The 23,355-nt window shown below is 40.1% G+C and overlaps 2 protein-coding genes across 13 annotated transcripts in view, besides 2 other annotated features; both read left to right on the top strand.

Annotated features, from left to right (window-relative positions):
• POC1B-DUSP6 (POC1B-DUSP6 readthrough) overlaps positions 1–23,355 on the top strand; it is a 177,983-nt gene that overhangs the window by 35,739 nt on the left and 118,889 nt on the right. For all 6 annotated transcript variants that reach the window (NR_189588.1, NR_189589.1, NR_189587.1 and 3 more), the window contains 4 exons: positions 18,034–18,141; positions 18,580–18,695; positions 19,815–19,948; positions 22,624–22,692. Coding sequence is in view for 3 of the 6 variants with exons in the window: in NM_001425796.1 (NP_001412725.1) it covers positions 18,034–18,141; positions 18,580–18,695; positions 19,815–19,948; positions 22,624–22,692 (427 nt within the window). In the remaining 3 variants the exon portion in view is untranslated. The remainder of the gene's footprint in view (positions 1–18,033; positions 18,142–18,579; positions 18,696–19,814; positions 19,949–22,623; positions 22,693–23,355) is intronic.
• The window catches only part of POC1B (POC1 centriolar protein B), a 124,581-nt gene that overhangs the window by 35,739 nt on the left and 65,487 nt on the right, over positions 1–23,355 (top strand). For all 7 annotated transcript variants that reach the window (NR_037659.2, NR_037660.2, NM_001425773.1 and 4 more), the window contains 4 exons: positions 18,034–18,141; positions 18,580–18,695; positions 19,815–19,948; positions 22,624–22,692. Coding sequence is in view for 5 of the 7 variants with exons in the window: in NM_001425773.1 (NP_001412702.1) it covers positions 18,034–18,141; positions 18,580–18,695; positions 19,815–19,948; positions 22,624–22,692 (427 nt within the window). In the remaining 2 variants the exon portion in view is untranslated. The remainder of the gene's footprint in view (positions 1–18,033; positions 18,142–18,579; positions 18,696–19,814; positions 19,949–22,623; positions 22,693–23,355) is intronic.
• Positions 9,098–9,288: a silencer, noted in NCBI's record as "fragment chr12:89874798-89874988 (GRCh37/hg19 assembly coordinates)". NCBI's record gives its function as "represses an EF-1alpha promoter that drives an FKBP-Casp9 reporter gene in an ReSE screen in HepG2 liver carcinoma cells {active_cell/tissue: HepG2}" and the evidence as "EXISTENCE:reporter gene assay evidence [ECO:0000049][PMID:32094911]".
• Positions 19,286–19,405: a silencer, noted in NCBI's record as "silent region_4692". NCBI's record gives its function as "represses an Ori minimal core promoter by ATAC-STARR-seq in GM12878 lymphoblastoid cells {active_cell/tissue: GM12878}" and the evidence as "EXISTENCE:reporter gene assay evidence [ECO:0000049][PMID:35858748]".

The raw sequence follows: 23,355 nt of genomic DNA, 5'->3' as shown, positions 1-23,355 counted from the left end.
AAGGATTGTTTTATTTTCCCTATTTTGCAGATAAGGAAAGTGAGTTTCAGAGAGGTGAAGTTAGACTCACCTAGTTGGAAGTGACAGAAGCCTAAGTCATTTTTTTTCTCCCCACCAGGTGGTTAAGTAGCTGGTATGTTTGGAGTGGGGAAGGGACAGACTAGAACCAGGGAGTCTAGTACTGTTACGCCTCTCTCTTTGTAGTGTCTGGGGGCCTCTCTATATGCTGGCTCCATTCTCTCAAATGTGCTGGTACCCAGGTCCCTGCCGGCTCCAGGCTTCAGTCCTCACAGCCTTGTGACTGACTGAAAAGGAAAGCTTCTTTACTCCCAGCTCCAGTTAGAAGAGTACCAGGTGGTGACTCTGGCCTATCCTGGAGCCTGTGCCCATCCCTTGCCTAGCAGTGAGATGCTGTGGCTGCTGCAGTTTAGGTCAGGGGCCTGGCTGAAACCAGTTACCCTGACTAAGAAGGAGGGGTCATACAAACATATGTTCTAGGCATGGGGATAGGGGACACTTCTTACAAGAAGCAGGTATGGGGTATGGCACAGAGGTGGTCAGCAGGGGAAAACTGTGGCCCCTGTAGCCATCCTGCTTTGTGCCTGCTGTATGAAATAACATGCCAGGTGTCCCCAGCCAGGATTTGGTGGAGTGGGAGTTTCAGCTTTGCTCTGTCTGTCTTGCCTTACAGCCCACACTCCTCACTGTCGTTATGGTCTCTGTGGGACATTATTGCTCAGGAGATGTTGATTATCACCTATGGCCATGAGCCTAAGAAGAATATAAGAAGATAGGCAGAAGGTCAGACTTTTAGTCACTAGGTTTTTCTTGTAAAGGTTTCAGCCAGTTTTTGGCTCTAGCCATCTCAGAATTATTTCTGTATATGCCATATAGCTGTGTGGCTAAAAACATGGACCCTGGACCTAAATTTGTAGGTTAAAATTCCAACCCCACTACTTATCAGCTGTGAGACCTGTGGGGAAGTTACCTAACTTCTCAATACTTCAGTTTTCTCACCTATGAAAATAAGAAGATGATAGTAGTAACCTGCCACATAGGTTGTTACAGTATTCAAATGAGTAAATATCTGGATAGCACTTAGAACGGTGCACCTCACATAGTAGTCAGTATATAATTCTTAGCTGTCATTCTCATCACCATCACTGGACACTCATTCTTACTAAATTTATAAAGATACTTTGTAACTTGGGTTGACAATTTTTTCCCAACTAAGGAGATAACGCACGATGGTCCCAAGAGGCTGATCATTTGTATTGATGTATAAAGTGATGCTGTAAATAAGAAGAGGAGGCAGAGAGCAGAGGTTCAGGCTCTGTTCTGGGGTGGGTCAGGTATGAAGAGAGTTATTTAGCCCCCACTGTGAGCCAGCTCTGGGTATGGTTGGCAAAGGAAGCATATTCTTCACAGGGAGCTGCACAATAAGCAAAAACGTGACGGTTGATTTAACTAAGCAAAATAGAATGCCTAAGTTTCACCCTGAATAATAATAATAGCTGCTATTGGCCCTGCGCAGTGACTCATGCCCGTAATCCCAGCACTTTGGGAGGCCGAAGCTGGCAGATCACTTGAGGTCAGGAGTTCAAAACCAGCCTGGCCAACATGATGAAACCCCGTCTCTACTAAAAATACAAAAATTAGCTGGGCGTGGTGGCAGGTGCCTGTAATCCCAGCTACTCGGGAGGCTGAGGCAGGAGAATCACTTGAACTTGGGAGCAGAGATTGCAGTGAGCTGAGATTGTGCCACTTCACTCCAGCCTGGGCAACAGAGCTAGACTCTATCTCAGAATAATAATAATAACAATAATAATAATAGCTGTATAATAATAATAGCTGTTTTTGTCCAGTGCTATGTGCTCCTGTTTCCTTCTAAAATGAAGGTGCTTTCTAATAACTCTCATATCTGTATATACATCAGTCATCAGAGGGAATCGGCAGACCATGTAACCCTGAGGATACAAATTTGGCATGATGTTTAGCCTGATTCCTGTAGCTGAGGTATTAGTGGAGTGATGGTGGCTGATATAGTTTTCATTTTCTAATAACAAGAAGGAATATTATCAAGTTGTTCATGTAAGGGAAAATTTTTTATGGAAGTAAATTATAGGAGATACTTTATTCGTTGTCGTTGTATTGAATCATCTATATATAAGTCTTTTATCAAAGGGTAATCGTAATGTAAGACAATTTATGAAAAGTCCCAATAATGTGAAATTTGGTCTTCAAAATATTACTTTAATAAGTATAGTCACTGCCCTGTACCATATAGCTATATTAAGTATGTAGAGATGAAAGACACAGTCTTGGCCTCAGGGAGCCGACAGTTACTTCAGTGGGGAAACATGATACTAAATAGTTATAAAATGGTGTGTCCTAAGGGAAAAAGTGGCACAAAAGATGATAAGGGAGTAATAAATAAGTGAGAATTGAACAAGATTTGTGTGAGGAAAAGTCAAGAAAGCCGTTTCAGTCCCAGAGCTGAGGGGAGAGAAGGGGAAGAGGAGGCAGTGGCATATTTGTCAGGTGCGAAGAGGGAAGGCAAGCTGTCTTCATGAGGGAGCCAGGAGGAGCAAAGCACTGTGGCCTGCAGGTACATAGTGTGCTCCAGGAACATTAATTATTCAGCTGTGGTCAGAACACAGGGAGCATATGGGACAAAACTATCCAATATTCATATGCCTGCCTGCACCATAGCATCACCCTGGAGCAAGTTAGCTCCCTGCTCTCAGCCTCTGTGGAACTTGAGGGTATTGAGGCTTCTCTCACTGGACTGAGGATAAGAAGTACCAGTTGACGGTGTTTGGGACTGAGTGATGCCATAAGACTACCTCTCTTCCAGCTGGGTGCTATTTAGGGAGAAACTCTGGAACCGGGGAGGAGTCACTGAAAATGTTCTTCCCCTTTATCAATTTGAGAGAAGAAAACGATGGTGGAACTCTGCACTTCTGTCTGCCTATTCCCTGTTTTCTGGTAGCAGTGCTCAAGCTTGCCCTGAGGAACCAGCTTGCCCCCTTGTCCTCTCCGTGTCATGTGCAGGAGTGCAGGAGTGGCCCTATCTCCAGTTCCAGAGCGGACAGTCAGCTCAGGCTCGCCCACGGAAACATAGCATCCCCTCCTGGAGGAGTGAGTCTTGTTGGAACCATGGGCCTTTCCTCTTGGTTGGCAGTGTTTAGGCTTATTTAAGCCTGTGACTGCTGAGGGACACCCTGGGCAAAGAACTGACCTAAAAATAATATTAATTCAGAAGAGAGCAGAGCTGTGAGATGAAGACAGAATGAATTTCTGTCTAATCATATGATTTGGTTTCTGGATACAGCCATACCTGAAAGTATTATAGAGAGTGTGTGTATGTGTGTCTGTGTGTGTGTGTGTGTCTGTGTGTGTGTGAGAGAGAGAGAGAGAGAAAGAGAGAGTTTTTAAAAATTGCCTTTTCCTTTTTTGTTTTATCCTAAAAAAGATGCTTTCCATAGGAAGTGATACTGGAGCAGAGTTTTGAAAAGTGAAATCTTCTTACCCGGTCAAGACATTCATTTTAGCTCCATCCTCAACGCAGCTGCTGTAGTTTTAGCACCATTGGCCTTTGTGCAGACTGTTGCAGGAATCTCCTAAATGGTCTCTCAGACCACAGATTACCTCCTCCCACCCTCCACCCCTGCATCTCTGCTTTTGTGAAAAACAAATCTAGTCATGCTGTTTCTTGCCTTAAAACCCCTCAGTGACTCCTTGTCCTGGCGTGTGTGTGCACTGCCCTCCTATCTTTCTTTTGTCACTTTCTGTCTTTCTTCTGTCACTTTCACCATTCACCTTCTTGCAGCCAGACAAGTCTCCTCAAGTGTGAATGACCCTTTTTGCCTTGTGCCTTTCCATATGGTGATTTCCATGCTGGGACGCCCCCTGCTTCCACCCTTCCTTCACAACCTGCTCTGCATCTCTTCCTCCAAGAAAGGTTTCTGCTTCTCCTGGGCCAAGCTTATTGTGACTCCTTTATGCCACCACATTGCCCTTCTTATGAGGTCTGTTTATCAGCTTAGGCCTCTCTTCCCTATTAGACTTCGAATTACAAGTATTTATGTTGTATTCTCTTGCCAGGCACTGTTGTAAATTGTATGAATACAGCAGAAAATAAAACACAAAATTCCTACTCTCGTGGAGCTTCCTTTACTGAAGAGAGACAGACAGCAAATATATTAGTGATAAGTACTCTGGAGAAAAATGATGTAGGGGGTAACAAGATGAAGAGTGGTGGGTTTGGGAGGTGGTCTTTTACATATCGAGGTCAGGGAAGGCATATTTACCAAGGTGACGTTTGAGCCAAGACTTGACTATATTGTGGAAGTTAGTAAGGTCGGTGTCAGGAGAGTGTTCAAGATAGGTCAGATATGATCTGAGAAGCACTGTAGAGTATCAGCTACAGGGTGGGAAAGGGTCAGGGGTTGTGCAAAAATATGGTTGAATCAATCAGTGAAAGGTTGGTGAGTAGGCTTAGGTTTATCTCTAAAGCAAAGGTAATTTTCATGGATTTCTTCAGAGAAGAGTTATTTTTGTGAATCTTTTCTAGCAAATCCAGGAGTACTGGTGCATGCATGTTTTACATGGAGATGTTTATGTGGCTTCACTGCTTTCTTTGTCCATTTTGGTTGACTCTTGTTCAATTGGCCAGTTGCTGACTTGGCACACCTGGCCTTCATGGACTGTCTTTATCTTACCGGTACCTTAAGGTTCTGAGGGATTTTTTTTAAAAAATCAGTTTTCTTACTGTTTGGAGTGAATGATTAATGTGAAACTCTGCAGAGGCCGTCCTCAAGGAATGTTCTTTGATGAATAAGTTGGTTAAATTTAATGAATAAGGATTTCATCTTCTTGGCAACTTTTTATTTATGTACACTACAACATGCTTACAGATTCTTTCTCATGCATGTATTATAATATATCTTCTTGGCTTACCTTATTGCAGTTAGAACAAGAGAGTTTAGACCAATGTCTGGAGGGCCTGATTGACCACCAAGGCCCAGCCTCCCAGAGTGTTTTGTGCATCTTCCCATGAGAACTTAACCTTGATGAAATCATTCTAATCCAGGACTCTCAAAGATGTGCAGGACTAGAAGTCCTATTTTCACTCTATACCTGAAGGTGAGAAAGCTCTGGGGAGCTTGAGTCATGTTTAATAACTTTAGGAGAGTCTGAAACATAAGTCAGATGCCAGTTTACTTATTTTTAATGACAATGCTAACTGCCAGAGAGCCTGGAACATTTGCATGCCTTAGTCAGGGCCTTCTTCTTTTGCCAAGTCAGGATATAATCAGAAGGCTTTTCAGTGAGCCCTGGGACTAAAGCAAGAGTTGTTTGTAGAAAAAATCTTGTTAGATAGTTTTCTCAGGTTAGGATAGTGAGGTGGGCCCATCTCCCCATCCACGCACCTGCCAGTGATCAGTACTGCTGGTCAGTCACCCTTCCCCTGAGCCAGGATGGAGGCTGCTGACCAGCTCTTGCTCTTTGCTTGTTGCAGTTGTTGCACACCTCCTCTCTGTTGACGTAGTATCTTTCAGGTGATGCAGTACAGTGATTAGTTTCAGCAGAGAGGCAGCACAGAGTAGTTAAGAGCCTGGGCTCACTAGCATGTTACTTGGGCACATCACATTCTCTGGGCATTAGTCTGCTCTCATATAAAATGAGTACAATGGAAGTGCCTTCCTTATAAGGTCACTGTGAAGATTAAATGAGTTAATGAATGTAAAGTGCCAATTAATGTCAGCTATTAACTATCCTCACATGCCAGTCCTCCCCCTAGGGATTATACTGGAGCCACTGTCAGCTGATATTCAAAAGTCATTTCACATATTTGCACATAGTTTTGGGGGTTGCTAATATAGATAGCTACTATCATCTATTAAATGTATGTTGTGTAGTAAACTTAAAAAGAACGTCCTTTTATTTCAAAGTAGTTGGGTCTGAAAATCTCTGCTTTTTAAGTGGAGTTCTTAGTCTGTTTAAATTTATGTAATCAGTCCTGTGATTGGATTTAAGTCTACCATCTTACTGTTTTCTCTTTATCCCATTTGTCCCACATGTTTATTTCTTTATCCTCTCTCCTTTTGGATTAATCAACTATTTCTTAGTATTCTACTCATCTATTTTATTCTTAGCTTTACTCTTTGTCTTTTTTGTTTTGTGGTAACCTCTAGAGATTACAATATGTATCCTTAACTTGTCACAGTCTACTCCTGAATTAATTTTATGCTGTTTTATGTATAATGTTAGAACTTATAGAACTATATCTCCATTTACTTCTTGACCATTTACACCTGCATATGGCGTAAGCTCACAATATGTTAAGCAGCCAATTTTCTTTAAAGAAAATAAGAAACAAAAAAGTCTTTTATATTTACCCCCATATTTGCTACTTCCAGCATTCTTTATTCATTTGTGTAGATCCAAGTTTCCATCTGATATCATTTCTTTTCTGCCTAAAACACTGCACTTACCATTTCTTGTAGTGAAGGTCTCCTGGTGATGGATGACTTCTCTCAACTTCTTGTTTATCCTTTGTAAAGGATATTTTTGCTGAGATGTAGAATTCTAGTTTGGCAGATAATTTTTTCTTTTAGTGCTTTAATGATGTCATTTACTATGGTCTGAGTTTGTGTCTCCCAAAAAATTCATGTGTTGAAATCCATACCCCAAAGGTGAGGGTATTAAAAGATGGGGCCTTGGGGAGGTGATTAGCTCATGAAGCACACCCTTCATGAATGGGATTTATGCCCTTATAAAAGAAGCCCCAGAGAGACCCTTGCCTCTCACCATGTGAGGACACAGCAAGAAGGTGTCATTTATGAGCCAGGAAACAGGCTGTATTAGTTTGTTCTCACACTACTAATAAAGACATACCTGAGACTGGGTAATTTATAAAGGAGAGGTTTAATTGACTCACAGTTCCGCAGAGCTGGGAGGCCTCAGGAAACTTACAAATTGTGGTGGAAGGGGAAGCAAATACATGGTGGCAGCAAGGAGAAGTGCTGAGCAAAAGGGGGAAAAGCCCCTTATAAAACTATCGAATATCGTGAGAACTCACTCATTATAAAAAGAATAGCATGTCGGACATGGTAGCTCACACCTGTAATCCCAGCACTTTGGGAGGCCAAGGTGGGTGGATCACCTGAGACCAGCCTGACCAACATGGAGAAATCCCGTCTCTACTAAAATTACAAAAAAAAATTAGCTGGGCGTGGTGGAGCATGCCTGTAATCCCAGCTATGGGAGGCTGAGGCAGGAGAATTGCTTGAACCTGGGAGGTGGAGGTTGAGGTGAGCCGTTGCACTCCAGCCTGGGCAACAAGAGCGAAACTCCATCTCAAAAAAAAAAAAAAAAGAATAGCGTTAGGGTAACCACCCCCATGATTCAATTACCTCCCACCAGGTCCCTCCCATGACAAGTGAGGATTATGGGAACTATAATTCAAGATGAGATTTGGGTGGGTACACAGCCAAATTGTATCACAGGCCCTCCTTAGACACCAAATCTGCTGGTGCTCTGATGTTGAACTTAGCCTTTAGAACTGTGAGAAATAAATTTCTGTTGTTTATATGCTACCCAGTGTGCAGTATTTTGTTATAGCAGCCTGAATGGACTAAGATGTCATTCTATTGTCTTTTAGTTTGCATTTTTTAATGTTAAGCCAGCAATCATTTTAATGTAATTCCCCTATATATAATGTATCTTTTTTCTCTGCTGCTCTCAGATCTTTTATTTTCAGCAATTTGACCATAATGGGCCTAGGTATGGTTTTATCTATTTTTCTTATGGTTCACTGAACTGTTTGGATCTATGGATTGATATTTTTTCATCATATTTGTAAAAATTGTTGTTCTTTCTTCATATATTTTTCTTCCCTAATTTCTTTCTCATCTCTTTCTGAAGCTCCAGATTCATGTATGTTTGACCACTTGATATTGTCCCACAGTTTTTTGAGGCTTTGTTCATATTTTTCCATTTTTTCTCCCTGTGCTTAGTTTGTATAATTTCTATTGCCTTATCCTCAAGTTCACTGGTCTGTTCTGCTGTAGGATCCAATTAACTGTATCCATTTCTCTGGTGAGATTCTCCATTGGTTTGCCCATGATGCCCGTCTTTTCCTTTAAATCCTTGAACATATTTATAATAATTGTTTTACAGCTCTAATTCCAACATCTATGCCATATCTGGGTCAAATTTTTCTGCTGCTTCATATGTCCTGTGATTTTTTAATTGTATGTCCAAACATGGCTAAATTTTTGAGTTTAGATTATGCTGTCGTTGTCTAAAGAGTGTTAAGTTTTGTTCTGGTATGAAATTAACTTTCTGCTTGCCCAAAGAGATAAAGAGATTCTGTTGAGGCTTGGATTTAGCCTGTGTAGGGTGGATCTAGTGTAGTCTTTACTCATGGGCTGTAGTGCCACTGGCCCTTCTAGAATTTCAAATGAATACCTGGAGTATTCAGAAAAGGCTGGTCAGAGCTTGAGCATCTCTCAGTTCTGTGTAACCTCTGTAATCTTTGCTCTGTTCACAGCCTCCCAGTAGTTGTTCTCTGCCAAGCCTTGTTGCCTTTGCACGGGCAGCTTTGTATTTGACAATACAAAGGGAATTGTATTATATACAAGGGGGTTCCTTGTAAATTTTTTTTCCAATGCAGAATTTTTGGGGATTCTGCTTTTCGTAAATCTTCTCTTGTACCCTGTCTTCAAAATTTCAGCCCATTAGCAGCCCTGAGTTCTGATTTCTGTTTCCTGTGCCCAGTGAGACTGCTGTTATCTCCTTGGGCTCTACTTCCATGTACTAAGATTTAGAAAGTGCTCCTATGTAGAAATCTGGGACAGATTTTGTGCTTATCTCATGTGTTTCCCATCTGTCAAGATTTGTAACCCTATGCTGTCTCTTGCCTAGTTCCTAAAAACAGTTGCTTCATATATTTGGCAGTTGTATGGTTGTTTATGGTAGGGAAGTAAGTCTGATAACCTTTACTACCCCATGGCCAGAACTGGAAATTCTGTCCAAGGAGTTAGTGGAACCTGACAAGTTAATTTTAAAATTCACATGGATGTGATAAATGTGCAAGAATAGCCAAGGAAAATTGACAAGAAAACAATTAGAGCCAGGTGGCTCACACCTGTAATCCCAGCACTTTGGGAGGCCGAGGCGGGTGGATCACTCGAGGCCAGGAGTTTGAGACCAGCCTGGCCAACATGGCCCTAACAATTAGGCCCTAACAATTAGGCCCTGACAATTAGGGCCAGGTGGCTCACACCTGTAATCCCAGCAATTTGGGAGGCTGAGGCAGGTGGATCACTTGAGGCCAGGAGTTTGAGACCAGCCTGGCCAACATGGCAAAACCCCATCTCTATTAAAAATACAAAAATTAGGCTGGGCGTGGTGGCTCATGCCTGTAATCCCAGCATTTTGGGAGGCCAAGGCGGGCAGATCACAAGGTCAGGAGATCGAGACCATCCTGGCTAACATGGTGAAACTCCATCTCTACTAAAAATACAAAAAATTAGCCGGGTGAGGTGGCGGGCGCCTGTAGTCCCAGCTACTCAGGAGGCTGAGGCAAGAGAATGGCGTGAACCCCAGGGGGCGGAGCCTGCAGTGAGCCGAGATCTTGCCACTGCACTCCAGCCTGGGCGACAGTGAGACTCCGTCTCAAAAAAAAAAAAAAAAAAAAAAAATACAAAAATTAGCCAGGCATGGTGGCGCACACATGTATTCCCAGCTACTCGGGAGGCTGAGACACAAGAATCGTGTGAACCTTGGAGGCAGAGGTTGCAGTGAGCCGAGATCATGCCACCGTACTCCAGACTGGCAGCAGAGTGAGACTCTATAAAAAAAAAAAAAAGAATTATAAATTAGCTTTATAACTTATCAGTCTCTTGCAAGAAGTGAGTGGATTGCTTGAGTCCAGGAGTTTGAGACCAGCCTGGGCAGCCTGGCAAAACCCCATCTCTACAAAAAATACAAAAATTATCTGGGCATGGTGGCATGCACCTGTAGTCCCAGCTACTTTGGAGGTTAAGGTGGGAGGATCACCTGAGCCTGGGAGGCCTATGCTGCGGTAAGTTGAGACGGTGCCACTGCACTTCAGCCTGACTAATGGAGTGAGACCTTGTCTCAAAAAAAAAAAACGAAAGAAGAAACTTGTCCAACCAGTTTTCAAAACATAATATAAAACCATAGTAATTAAAATATGGTGATAATGGTACAGGATTAAGAAAAGAGGTCATATAAAGCCCAGAAGCAGATACATGTGTATATGAGAACTTACAATAAATGTGGCATTTCCAATCAGTGGGGAAATATATGGTCTATTTAATATGTAGTTAAGATAACTAGATTTATATTTGGAAAAATATAAAGTTGAATATTTTACCAAAAAAATTTAGATGAATTAAACAACTAGATATTTAAAATAATCCAAATGGTACTGCTTTTCCTCCCAGTGCATGGATAGTGTACTTAAATGAATGTAGAGGATCAGTAGAGCAATTGTTTCTGCCTTTAGTATTTGAATTTTAAATGTATGCCATGGACTTAAGTAATTAAAATTCTGTGTCTATCTCGGTGCCCAGTACTTTCTATGAGTTTGTTCTTGGAGCCCAAGCTTATTCAGTGTCGCACAGAGATGGTGCCCATTAGTGTAAGAGGAGGTGAATAGGTAGTTTCTCTAGACTAACCTTTGTTATAATCTAATTTAACAAAGGTTAATTTAAATAAATAAGGTATACCATATATTTGGAAATACATTCATGCTTTTAAAATGTAAATAGTATAGTCTTTTTATAAGTCTATTTGCAAAATATGTCAGGCATCTTTGTTGCAGTGATTCTACAACCAAAAATGTGTCCAAAATAAATACTTTTTTGCCATCACATGAAAAAGCTTTGTATTCAAAGGTGGTGCTTTCAGTATAATTTGAAATGATGAGAAATTAGAAATAACCGATTTTTCCAATTTTTATTTCAAATAAAAAACCTAGTTAAATATAGTTAGATTATGATGTAACCAGTAAAAAGGGAGTCTATATGCAAGTTATGGCATGAAAATATGTTTACATGGGGAAATGGAATGCAGTGGTTATATTATAAAAGACCTATGCATGAACAAAAGATGAGGTATCTATTATACACAAGATATTAAGTGTAATTGTGTTTGAGTGACAAGATCTGGACTTTTAAAATTTTCTGTATTTCTCAACTTTTAAACATATGATGAAGAAAACATCATTTGAAATACATGTATGTAGGTGAGAAATATCTTTTTACTTACAAAAGAATTTTTCTAAAAGTTAAAATTAGTATAGCCCTTTGTTTTTAAAAACAATGCACGTATTGTGGGATAACTTACATTTCTTTATAGTGTTCTTAATAAAAAATAAGTAGAAGTTAATGTAGTAGAGAACTTTTCCGAGTCTGTTGCTTTTCCAGCATTGATTTTTTGGGAGTAAATATCTGCCTATAATTTTCAGTTGTTGATAGGATTACAAAGTGATCTTTTGACCATCTGAATTGAAAAGATTTTGTGAAATTGTGGTAAAATATATATAACAAAATTTACCATTTTAACCATTTTTATGTATACAGTTCTGTGGCATTAGGTATATTCACATTGTTGTGCAACGAATTGCAAAGATTTTTCTCAGCTTACATTGGCTATATATAATATTAAGTTAGTTTAAATTCCCTTAAAACTTTTTTTTTTAATTTCCTAAACATTTACTAAGGACCTACTCAGTGCCAGGCACTGTGTCTGGGGATAGAGCATTGAGTGAGACAGATGTGAGTTGCCTCTTCTTGCTTATATTCTATTAGGGAAGCCAGCGTGGAGCACTGAGGTATAAATGTGGATGTGGGGCCAGGCGTGGTGTTTAACGCCTGTAATCCTAACACTTTGGGAGGCTGAGGCGGGTGGATCACTTGAGGCCAGGAGTTCAAGACCAGCCTAGCCAACATGGCGAAACCCCATCTCTACTAAAAATACATAAATTAGCCAGATATGGTGGCACATGCCTGTAATCCCAGCTACCTGGGGAAGCAGGGTAGCTGAGGCATGAGAATCGCTTGAACCCAGGAGGCGGAGGTCGCAGTGAGCTAAGATCCCGCCATTGCACTCCAGCCTGGGCTACAGAGCAAGAGTCTATCAATAAATGAATGAATGAATGAATGAATGAATGAATGAATGAATGAATGAATGTGGTTGTGGGCAACTCCAAGAACACATCTTGGGGTGCTAGCCTACTGGTGACAGTGTTCAGGAAGGCCGTTCCTGAGGAAGTGACATTGAAGCAGAGAGCTTGAAGGAGGTGTAAAATCCTTTTTATAGATTTTAAACTAGGTAAAGACTAGGGGGCAGTGTTTGAGGCACAGGGAAGCATCTGAGCAAGAGCAAGGGACCTAAGAGAAGGTAAAGAAGAGGAGGGTGATGAAGATGAAGACGCAGGAGGATAGGTCCTAGAGAGCTATGAGCATGTCACACTTCTCCCCAAAGGAAACGTGAAACCACCGAAGGTTTTAAGCAGAAAGATGACCCAGTTTGATTTAAGATTTAAAGATCACTTTTGTTGCTTGTGGAGAGTGGAAGACAACAGGGTCAATTGTGGTTTAAGGAGGCAGGACCCAATAATGGATTGGAATGTGGGGAAGTAGAAGAGAAAGAAGAATCAAGCCAGACCCCCGAGTTTCTGGCTTGAGAAACCATTTACTAAGAAAGAAAACACTGAATAAAGAGGAGAAGAAGAGAACCTTCCTCTTCAAGAGGAAGAGGGTGAATTCATTTGGGCAAGTTCAGAGCTGGAGGTTCCTGCAGGATATCCAAAAGGGGATGCCCAGCAAGCAGTTGTACTCATGGGTGGAGATTCCAGGAAGGAATTCTGGGCACATAGATGGTAAATTCCCGAACAAGTAATTTTCATGGCATGCTTCATCTTTTTACATATTTTTCATCTGCTTTTTGTCTCTCAGCAGTTGCAGAAATGAATCCTGCTACTGTAGTCAACAGATGGTTTCTCTTCTAATGCTGACCAACACTTAAAAAAAATAAATGTTTTGCTTATTGACTTGAACTTCACCTTCAATCTGTAAACATCAAATTCTATCAGCGCAAACTCTGAGACTGCCAAATTTTTAGAGTCTGTGAAAATTTTAGGGCTGATTCAATCCAGACTCCTTCATTATACAAATAGGAAATGGTGGCCATTACGGTTGTGAGTTTACAAGATTACATAGCTGGACAGTTGCAGAACTGGCCCTAGAATTCAGGACTTGGTATTTACTGAGCAGTCTTATTTCCACTACTTTTTACTGCTTCCTCCTACTACTGAAGAGCTGTTGGCTTCAGAGTTCCTCTTACTAATGATTTGTGTCTTACGGGACATGAAATAGTGCCTGCCCTGTTTGGTCCCAGAGCCCTGAGTGCTGGGAATGTGTTTTTATAGAAAATGTATTCTGAAGATAAGAAATAGCCAAAGGAAAATTTGAATTTTTTATAAAAGTGTCTGTCTGTCTGTCTGTCTATCTATCTATCTATCTATCTATCTATCTATCTATCTATCTATCTATCTATCTATCTATCTATTGAGACAGTCTCACTTTGTCACCCAGGCTGGAGTGCAGTGGTGCGATCTTGGCTCACTGCAGCCTCCGCCTCCCTGATTCTCTTGCCTTAGCCTCCCAAGTAGCTGGGATTACAGGCATGCACCACCAGGCCCAGCTAATTTTTGCATTTTTAGCAGAGATGGGGATTCACCATATTGCCTAGGCTTGTCTCAAACTGATGGCCTCAATGATCTGCCTGCCTCAGCCTCCCAGAGTGCTGGGATTACAGGCATGAGCCACCACACGTGGCCTTATGAAAGCACTTTAAGACTTTTCATGGTTCATGGACGTTTTTGGTTCTGTAATGAACAAGTAACTATGACTATGAATATAGACATAAAATTTTTACATACAATTACAGGAACTCTGTAGATTCCAAGTTAAAAAGACTCCTGTTATATAATTTGGGCTATTTTCAAGGACATGTGAATCAGTTTTACTAGAAATAAGTTCAAGAATTTCCTCATTCTGGGCTGGGCACAGTGGATCATGCCTGTAATTCTAGCACTTTGGGAGGTGAAGGCAGGAGGATTGCTTGAGCCCAGGGGTTCAAGACCAGCCTGGGCAACATGGCGAAACCCTGTCTCTACAAAAATTACAAAACTTCGCCGTGCAAGGTGGCACAAGCCTGTAATCCCAGTTATTTGGGAGGCTAAGGTGGGATGATCACCTGAGCCCTGGAGGTCGAGGCTGAAATAAGCCGAGATTGCACCACTGCTTTCCAGCCTGGGTGACCCTGTCTCAAAAAAAAAAAAAAAAAAAAAAAAGAATTCCCTCATTCTTTTGAGTGAATACCAGTAAAGTTTAAGGAATTCAGTAGTAGTTCAGCTAACTTCTCATATGCCTCTTAAACTCTCGAATGTCCATGTTTGCTGATCCAGTAGTCACTATTGACTAATGTAATATTCATCTTGGTGACACACTTTGTAGACGTTTTTAAAGGCAGTTGGGTGGTACTAAATTAAGAGAGTCAGAAATCTATTAATGTCTTAGTAGAAATTTTATATCCTCTTTAAATTCTTAAAAGTCTAGTTAGATGTTATTTGAGCCCTGACGATAAAGGACTAACCTTTCCTAATCAAAGTCAAGGCAAAGAGAAGCCTGTTTTATTGGTGCTAACCTATTTTTGATGTATCTAATTAAAAATAAAAGGGAGGAGGAGGAAATAGAAATCATCATTCTCACTTTCAGCCACCTCAAATGCAAAAAAACACATACAGAGAGCATATGCAGGATTATAATGCAGTGACCAGAGCAGGGGGAAGGCCTTAACCTCAGTCCCCTTTAGTTTCTGTTAAGTTGATGGTAGAAACCTCGCCTCCTTCTGGCACCAGGTTCTTCCCAGCCACTGCCTGTACTTTAACTCATTCGAGGTTCACATCCCTTCATTTATTTTGCTCTGGGAAATTTCTCCCAGCTATGGGCCCTCCTGCTCAGGAGGCACTTTTAGCTGACCAAGATAACACTTTTCCTCATTTGCAAGTTTCTTTAAAATCCTGTTTCCTCTATGGAGCTTCTGGTAACAAATTGGCACCTGTTTTGTTAACAACCCTTTTTCCTATCACTTTCTAAAATTATGTTTTTTGTGTGCCCTCCCTTCTCCCTAGAACAAAAGCCTCATAAGGGCAGGGATCTTGCCAGTCTCATTCACAGCTATATTCCTACTACCCACAGCAGTGCCCAGTGCCAGGTACTGACAAGTGCTCAGGGAATCTTTGAATGAATCAGTGGGTGAAAATTTTTCCCACAAACTCCACAAGGACAGGGACCATGTCTGTTTTACCTACAGCTTATGGCAACACACACAGATGTTTATTCAAGGATGGTGTATAGCCTCCTAACAGCACTGCCTCGTGGTTCCTCTCCACTTTAGAACCTTCTGTTGTTTACACAGAAGCCACACAGAACTTCCAGTGCTCTAAGTAATTTGGGCCAGTAGAAGACACTTTCCTTTTTGTCAGACTTAAGCAGAGTGGTTCAGAGATTTGGCTGTGGAAACAACTGCCTGATTCAAATCCAGACCCCTCTCCCCACTGACCTGATAACACTGGCAGTTACTTATCCTTTATGTGCCTCTGTTTCTTCACTGTAAATTGAGACAAGCAGTAGCACCTGTTTTACTGGGTTATGCTGAAAATTAAATGAGTTGCTACATGTAATGTGTTAATAACCGTTCTAGGACACATGTGCTCAAGGAATGTGGGTAGGATAATGATGTGATGGTGGTGGTAGTATTTGGTTGATGTCATAGGGTAAGTACTTCTATATTTTGTTATTATCTAAGCATTTCATTTTATTAAATATTTTTCTCCATAATTGCTTTCTTGAAATGTAAGAGTTAAGTCCTCTCATAGAAATATTTTGGTCACTTAACATAGTCACATTAAGTAATATTTTTTAAAAAGAAGCTTAGTAAGTAAGACAATTTGATCCCTTGCATTAGTTTTTTACAGGTTTTTTTTTTTTCCTTTTGAGACAGAGTCTTACTCTGTAACCCAGGCTAGAGTGCAGTGGTGCAATCTCGGCTCACTGCAACCTCTGCCTCCCGGGTTCGAGCAATTCTCCTGCCTCAGCTTCCTAAGTAGCTGGGATTACAGGCACCTGCCACCATGCCCCACTAATTTTTGTATTTTTTAGTAGACATGGGGTTTCACCATGTTGTCCAGGCTGGTCTCAAACTCCTGACCTCAGGTGATCCGCCTGCCTCGGCCTCCCAAACTGCTGGGATTACAGGCATGAGCCACCGCGCCTGGCCAGTTTTTTATAATTATTATGCCAAGTTTATCCGTGGGGATACTGAGTAGGTTTTTTTCCCCAGGTTCTATATATAATAAGCTTCCTCTGTTTGGAGCCTTTTTATAATACTGCCCTTCAGATTTGAATCTTTCTCACATTTTCTGAAAGAAAATATTAATAAATTTTTACTTACTGTAAAATCAGGGTAAACTACCCAGCATGGAAAATTTTTCCTTGAAAGGTTATTTTCTTGACTTTTTTTTTTTTTTTTTTTTCTTTTCTGAGGCGAGTCTTGCTCTGTCGCCCAAGCTGGAGTGCAGTGGCACAATCGCAGCTTACTGCAACCTCTGCCTCCTGGGTTCAGGTGGTTTTCCTGCCTCAGCCTCCTGAGTAGCTGGGATTACAGGCACCTGCCACTATGCCTGGCTATTTTAGTGGAGGCAGGGTTTCACCCTGTTGGCCAGGCTGGTCTCGAACTCCTGACCTCAGGTGATCCGCCTGCCTCAGCCTCCCAAAGTGCTGGGATTACGGGCATGAGCCACTGCACCCAGACTTCTTGATTTTTAAATATTATTTCACATGGAACTTCTTTGTGCCTTTTTTCTGTGTGAATCTGTGAACGCCAGATGCAAAGTTTCTGTCACAAAGAATTAATTTTAGGTCAGCCTTAAGAATGGGAGTAGGGAGAGAACAAAAAGAAAAATCTTCAATTATATTCCACACCCTTAATTGATGACTCATAGTAATCTTTACTGTGGGCATAGAGGGAAACTACAAATAAAATTGAAATATAGTCTGTGACCCAAATCTGTCTTTTTTGGTTTTTGTTACTGTGAAAATATTAATAATAAAAATACTATTCATAGTTTTCTAATAGTCTAAAATTTGTTTTTATTTTCTCTGTGGTCTTCTGCTTTTCTGTTTATATTTAAAAGGCATTGTGGCCAAACAATAAAAAAAGAACCTTGGGAAGGATATTAAAGGAATAGACAGCATAAAACAGCAGACAAGATGTCTGAGATTTTTCTCATTTGCTTTTTAATGGGGCGTGTGGATGATAGATTTCTCCATGAAGGAACTTCTGTTCTGTTCTGTATAAATGAATTGTCCTATTTTCAGTCCATTGGAGCTCTCTGGCCTCCCCAAGTCCAGGAAGTTACAGGCATGGGCAGTTAGGTTCTTTTGTTGGTGATGTCACTTAATTTTAATTCTCAACACACCATTCCTTTTCTTACAAAAAGTTTCACTGCAAGCTTGGTCGGATGAGTAATAAAGGCTCTCTCTTGAATCATATGGATAATGCTGGCAAGTGACAGAAATAGAAGAGAGTTCTTTTAAAAATACAAGGCACTTGGCTTAGAGTGAGTACAGAATTGAATCAAAACCCCAAAGCAGATGCAATAAAACCAAAATTATTTTAATAAAAGAATAAAAGGAAAAAAGCAACTTGGTTAGTCTACATAGCATATTTTGACCTTTTAATGGTCTGTCAGTGTTGTTTGTCATGATGAAGATCTTGGCTGCAGAATATGACTTTACTGCATGGGATGGTAACAGTGGTCTCTGGTATTTAATATTTACAGCCTGGTTTATTTGTGGTGTAGAGGTGAGGTGGTGACTCTCCAGAGCCTTTCACATAAAACATCTTCTTTCTTCTTCTTTCTAGATTTTCACCCGATGGAAGACTAATTGTGTCATGTAGTGAGGATAAAACTATTAAAATTTGGGATACCACAAATAAGCAATGTGTTAATAACTTCTCAGATTCCGTTGGGTAAGTACACTTTCTTTGTGCATTTATGTGGGTTAGTTTTCTAAGGAGACGTTTGATTATAACAATTTAAATAAATAAATGAGTAAAGAAATTGAAATATGGCCGGGTGCAGTGGCTCACGCCTGTAATGCCAGCACTTCGGGAGGCTGAGGCAGGCGGATCACCTGAGGTCAGGAGTTTGAGACCAGCCTGACCAACATAGTGAAACCCTGTCTCCACTAAAAATACAAAAATTACCTGGGCATGGTGATATGTGCCTGTAATTCCAGCTACTCGGGAGGCTGAGGTGGAAGAATCACTTGAACCCAGGAGGCGGAGGTTGCGGTGAGCTGACATTGCGCCACTGCACTCCAGCCTGGGTGACAAGAGTGAGATTCCGTCTCAAAAAAAAAAAAAAAAGAAATTGAAATATTAGGTCATCTTATTCTTTCCTCCTAGATTTGCAAATTTTGTGGACTTTAACCCTAGTGGTACATGCATAGCTTCAGCAGGTTCTGATCAAACTGTGAAAGTCTGGGATGTAAGAGTGAACAAATTACTACAGCATTACCAAGGTAACAATTTTCCTAACAAAAAATTCAGTTACCGAATGGACTCCTTTTGGAAGGACTGATTCTCCTTGTTGGTGTGGTTTGGCTGTCTTACTTGGGGTCATGGGCTGCCTTGGAACAGGCTAGAGAATAGTATAATTAGCTCCCATCAACAGCAGGGTCTCAGAAGCTCAAGGACAGCAGGAAGTGAAGAGACCTTAAAAATGATGTGAGGGCTGGTTTAAAGAAAAAAAAAGAAGTTGCTATGAGATTTTCAAATTCTGGTTATCAGCATTGTGTGAGAAGTCAGGATAGAAATGACTGAATTCTGAATCACAGGGAGTTACGTGAGCACAAATAGGTGTTATAACTGGTAGAAAACAACTACCTACTATGCCTATGTATTGATATTGAACTAAAAGAGAAGTGAATTTTCTTGGTTTATATTGGATTTATATTAAATCGAAATGATTATTAAACATAGTAGCTTTTCCAGTGTTTACTATGTAGCAGACACTGTGCCAAATCTAAACAATATTCCTAGGAGGTATCATTATTACTCACATTTTTAAGATAAGGAAATTGAGATTTAAATAGGGTAATTAACTTGCTCAAAGAATCAATAGAACTACTTAGGTCTTCCTGCTTACACAGTGCATAGAAAAATTAACTTTTGATCATTGTGTTATACTGCCTCCTGTTGGAAGGATACTGTCTGGAGACAAAGTCTCAAGCATGATGGCAGGACTGTGCCCGTTTCAAACTGTCTCCACACTTTTCTCCCTTTAATCCCAAGCCACTAATTAGTTATTACCTTTAATTTGAGACTAGGTTATATACCCTATCTGAGCTGGTGATGATTAACTGTCAGTTTTATTGGCAATATATCCAAAGAATTTATAGTAATGTGGTCAATAAGATTACCTTTCCGTGACACAGTCTCATTTTTAAAGTTATTCTGGCTCTCTAACTGGAAGCTTAGAGCTATGTGATGCCAAAATACTCGTTTTAGTGAGCCATATAGAGTTTTGTTGTTGTGGAAACAGTGCTCTTGTTTACAACCTATTGCTAATAAGGCACTGGGGTATCTTCAAAAGTAAGAATTGTTCTCTGAACTTTTTGCTTTTATTTTCTACAAATCAGTTCACAGCGGTGGAGTTAATTGCATATCATTCCATCCTTCGGGTAACTATCTCATCACAGCTTCTTCAGATGGTACCCTTAAGATTCTGGACCTCTTAGAAGGAAGGCTCATCTATACACTTCAAGGACATACGGTATTAACACTCAGATTCTTGCTTTTTATATATAAAAATATAAAATAATATATATTTTAAATTTCTGATCCATTTTTATGTCCCTTTATTGTTTTTCCAGACATAGCACACATTGCTGCTATCATAAAATTTTTTTACTTCCAAGGCTGTTTTTATCCTCTGGAAGCAACTCTTAGAAATATTATTTGTGGCTGGGCGTGGTGGCTCACGCCTGTAATCCCAACACTTTGGGAGGCTGAGGCGGGCAGATCACCTGAGGTCAGGAGATCGAGACCATCTTGGCCAACATGATGAAACCCCATTTCTACTAAAATACAAAAAATTAGCCAGGTGTGGTGGCACATGCCTGTAATCCAAGCTACTTGGTTGGGAGGCTAAGGCAGGGGCATCACTTGAACCCAGGAGGGGGAGGCTGCAGTGAGCTGAGATTGCACCACTGCACTCCAGCCCGGCAACAGAGCAAGACTGTCAAAAAAAAAAAATGGAAGAAAAAAAGAAATATTATTTGTTGTAATTCTTATCAAAATCAATGTGTATCTTTCAATGGCCATTAAATGAATCTTCTCCTGCTGTCTTTATCAGTATGTTGTATAGATTGACTGGGTAAATGGTGATGGGTAAGTAGATTCCATACTTCAGATCCTTCCTTCATGTGGAGGCTGTCCCGCTTAGCCCTGACACCCAGCCTCTCACACCTCTCCCTCACTCCTTCTGCTAATTTGTTGGTGGGTTTAGGAGAAATTGGGTAAGCACAGCCTAACACCTTCTACTCTCCTGCCTTTGGGAGTAGCCATTCTTCACTGTTTTTCTCTGATATTCCTTGTGGGGAGACCTGCCCTTGTCTAGTGTTGCCTGTGACTCATTCTGGGCATCCGTTCTAGAAAGCCTATTTGTGTTACACATAAAAGCCACATTCTCTTTTTACAAGCATTTATTAGAAAGAAAGGTGATATTTCGATTCTTATGTGCTGTATTCCTTTGTCTTATTTCTCAATTGGTTTAGAACCAAGTAGGTAAGAGGGGTGCCTTTTATTGAGCCTGTTCAAAGATCCCTCCCTGGCATATAGATCAATTTTTTAAATTTATTATTTCTTTATTTTTGAGATGGATTCTTAGTCTGTCACCCAGGCTGGAGTGCAGTGGCACAATCTCGGCTCACTGTAACCTCTGCCTCCTGGGTTCAAGTGATTCTCCTACCTCAGCCTTCTGTACAGGCGCACCACCACGCCCAGCTAATTTTTTGTTTGTTTGTTTGTTTAGAAGAGACAAGGTTTCACCATGTTGGCCAGGCTTGTTTTGAACTCCTGACCTCAGGTAATCTGCCTGCCTTGGCCTCCCAAAGTGCTGGGATTACAAGTGTAAGCCACTGTGCCCAGCCTAGATAAATTTTTTTGAGTATATAAACTAGTCTTTTCTTCCAGACAATATTCAAACTTCTCTGAATTTTTTAGAATGCATCCTCTTTTTTTTTTTGAGGTACTTCCTTTTAACAAGTATAAGCTGTTTATATCTAGAAATAGAATGAGCCTTGTGGTCTAGAAGAGAAGAGTTTCTTTTTCACAGGTTCTGCCTGGCTTCCTGCTTTGCGTTATCATTTATTCTGCAGTGGTGTTAGGGTAAAGCAGAAATAAATACTAACCAGCTTAAATATATGCATATCCATGGATTTAGGCTGAATAAACATAACAAATAAAAGTGGCCAAGGATTGAAATATCCATGAAAAAAGTACAAAATAATAGGGAAAAAAGATAAACACAGTCTTTCAGTAGGAAAACACTACATGAAGATGGAATTTTAGTCTGGAAGTAAAGGTGTTTATGAAGCTATTAATATTATAAACTAAATCTGTGGGATAGTCTACTTGGGAAAATACAAGATGTTTTTCCCTAAAACTTTTCTTGTACAGATTAAGGACATATTAAAAACATATGGTATATATTAATATTTTTGAGATAAGAAATACTTACTCTTATCTGGACTGAAAAATTGACCTAGAGGCTATCCATCTTGTGACTGTGCCAAGCACAGTCTTGTCCAACTCCGCAGTAACTGCTCAATTTCAGGTTTTCATTACCTCTCACCTAGATAATTACAGGAACTTCCTAACTGGCCTCCAACCAAGCATCTTACTCCAATTCATCTTTCTCAGAATTGTGATACTGATTTTAATCATTCACAGCTCTCCTCCTATCTGTGTTCTGCTCTTTAAACTTTTAGTGGTTTATGGTTGCCTACATGAAGGGGGAACTCAGTGAAGCCCATTGGTCAGGAAATGGACTTCATGTAAATAGCCTCATTCCCATTACCTACATATTTATCATTCAGTTTCTGCTAGTGATTGGTTGAATACAGAGTCCAAAGCCAGAAAATCTTAACAGAAATTCTTATGAACTTACATATGTAAAAGCTTTTCTTGAAAGGAGAAAAAAGTTATTTTTTTAATTAATTTTTAGTATTTTTTTAGTATCATTTATTTGTGTTTTAATATGATTGGGTTGATTCTTTGATTATCTTCACTCTGCCAGCATTAGTTGCTAGCAACTGATGTGTTTTATTAGACTTATTGCATGAGTAGTATGCATAAATTAGGATGAGAAATTGATATCCATAGTCTTCTTGGCCATGAGAAAGCATTACCAAGTACTTTTTTTCTTTATTTCCCTTTATTTCTCAGGGACCTGTCTTTACTGTTTCATTTTCAAAAGGTGGAGAGCTATTTGCATCAGGAGGTGCAGACACACAGGTTTGTAAATCTTTCAGCTCCTCTTTGATTTGGTTAAGGTAAAGGAATCCTTGACCTCAGCTAAGAGTTTTACAACCAGCTAGTTTGTGTATGTTAAGATGTTTGTCAATGAGTTTATATTTTAATTAGTACCATGAAGTCTGCTATCTCATAGCTGAAACAGAGCCAGTTCTAAATTTTGGGAACTCAAATAGTTATTTTCTTTTGCTCATTTTACACTTAACTATACATGTAACTGACACTATATGTCCACTTTCAGTAATTATATAGCACTTTTGCTTGAATCATTGCCTTATCTTAAGCTTCTTGAGGATGGTAAATATAAATCATTTATATACCAAATCTGCATTTATCTGAAATGACCAAAAGTCATTCATGGCCAGATTTATTGAATAAAGTGAATGACCAGTCCAAAACATGGTTTTGGGCTTTGACCAAAAAAAAAGAGGATTTTAAGATAACCAGATATTTTCTTAATATGAATTTTAAACCAGACATGAAGGCAATTCAAAATGTTAAATCTCTCCCTCAACCACACCTTAAAAAAAGATATTGAGAAATAGTAACATAGTTGAAATATATATCTACCCTTCCTACTTTGGGAGACAATTCTGTATATTGTGGGTTTTAAAATCAGCTCTATTGCTTGTACATGCAAGTCAA

The sequence above is a fragment of the Homo sapiens genome, chromosome 12 (assembly GCF_000001405.40).
Source record: "Homo sapiens chromosome 12, GRCh38.p14 Primary Assembly".
Taxonomy (NCBI): domain Eukaryota; kingdom Metazoa; phylum Chordata; class Mammalia; order Primates; family Hominidae; genus Homo; species Homo sapiens.
The sequence above is the reverse complement of the archived record's forward strand: the minus strand, read 5'-3'. Positions and strand labels throughout refer to the sequence as shown.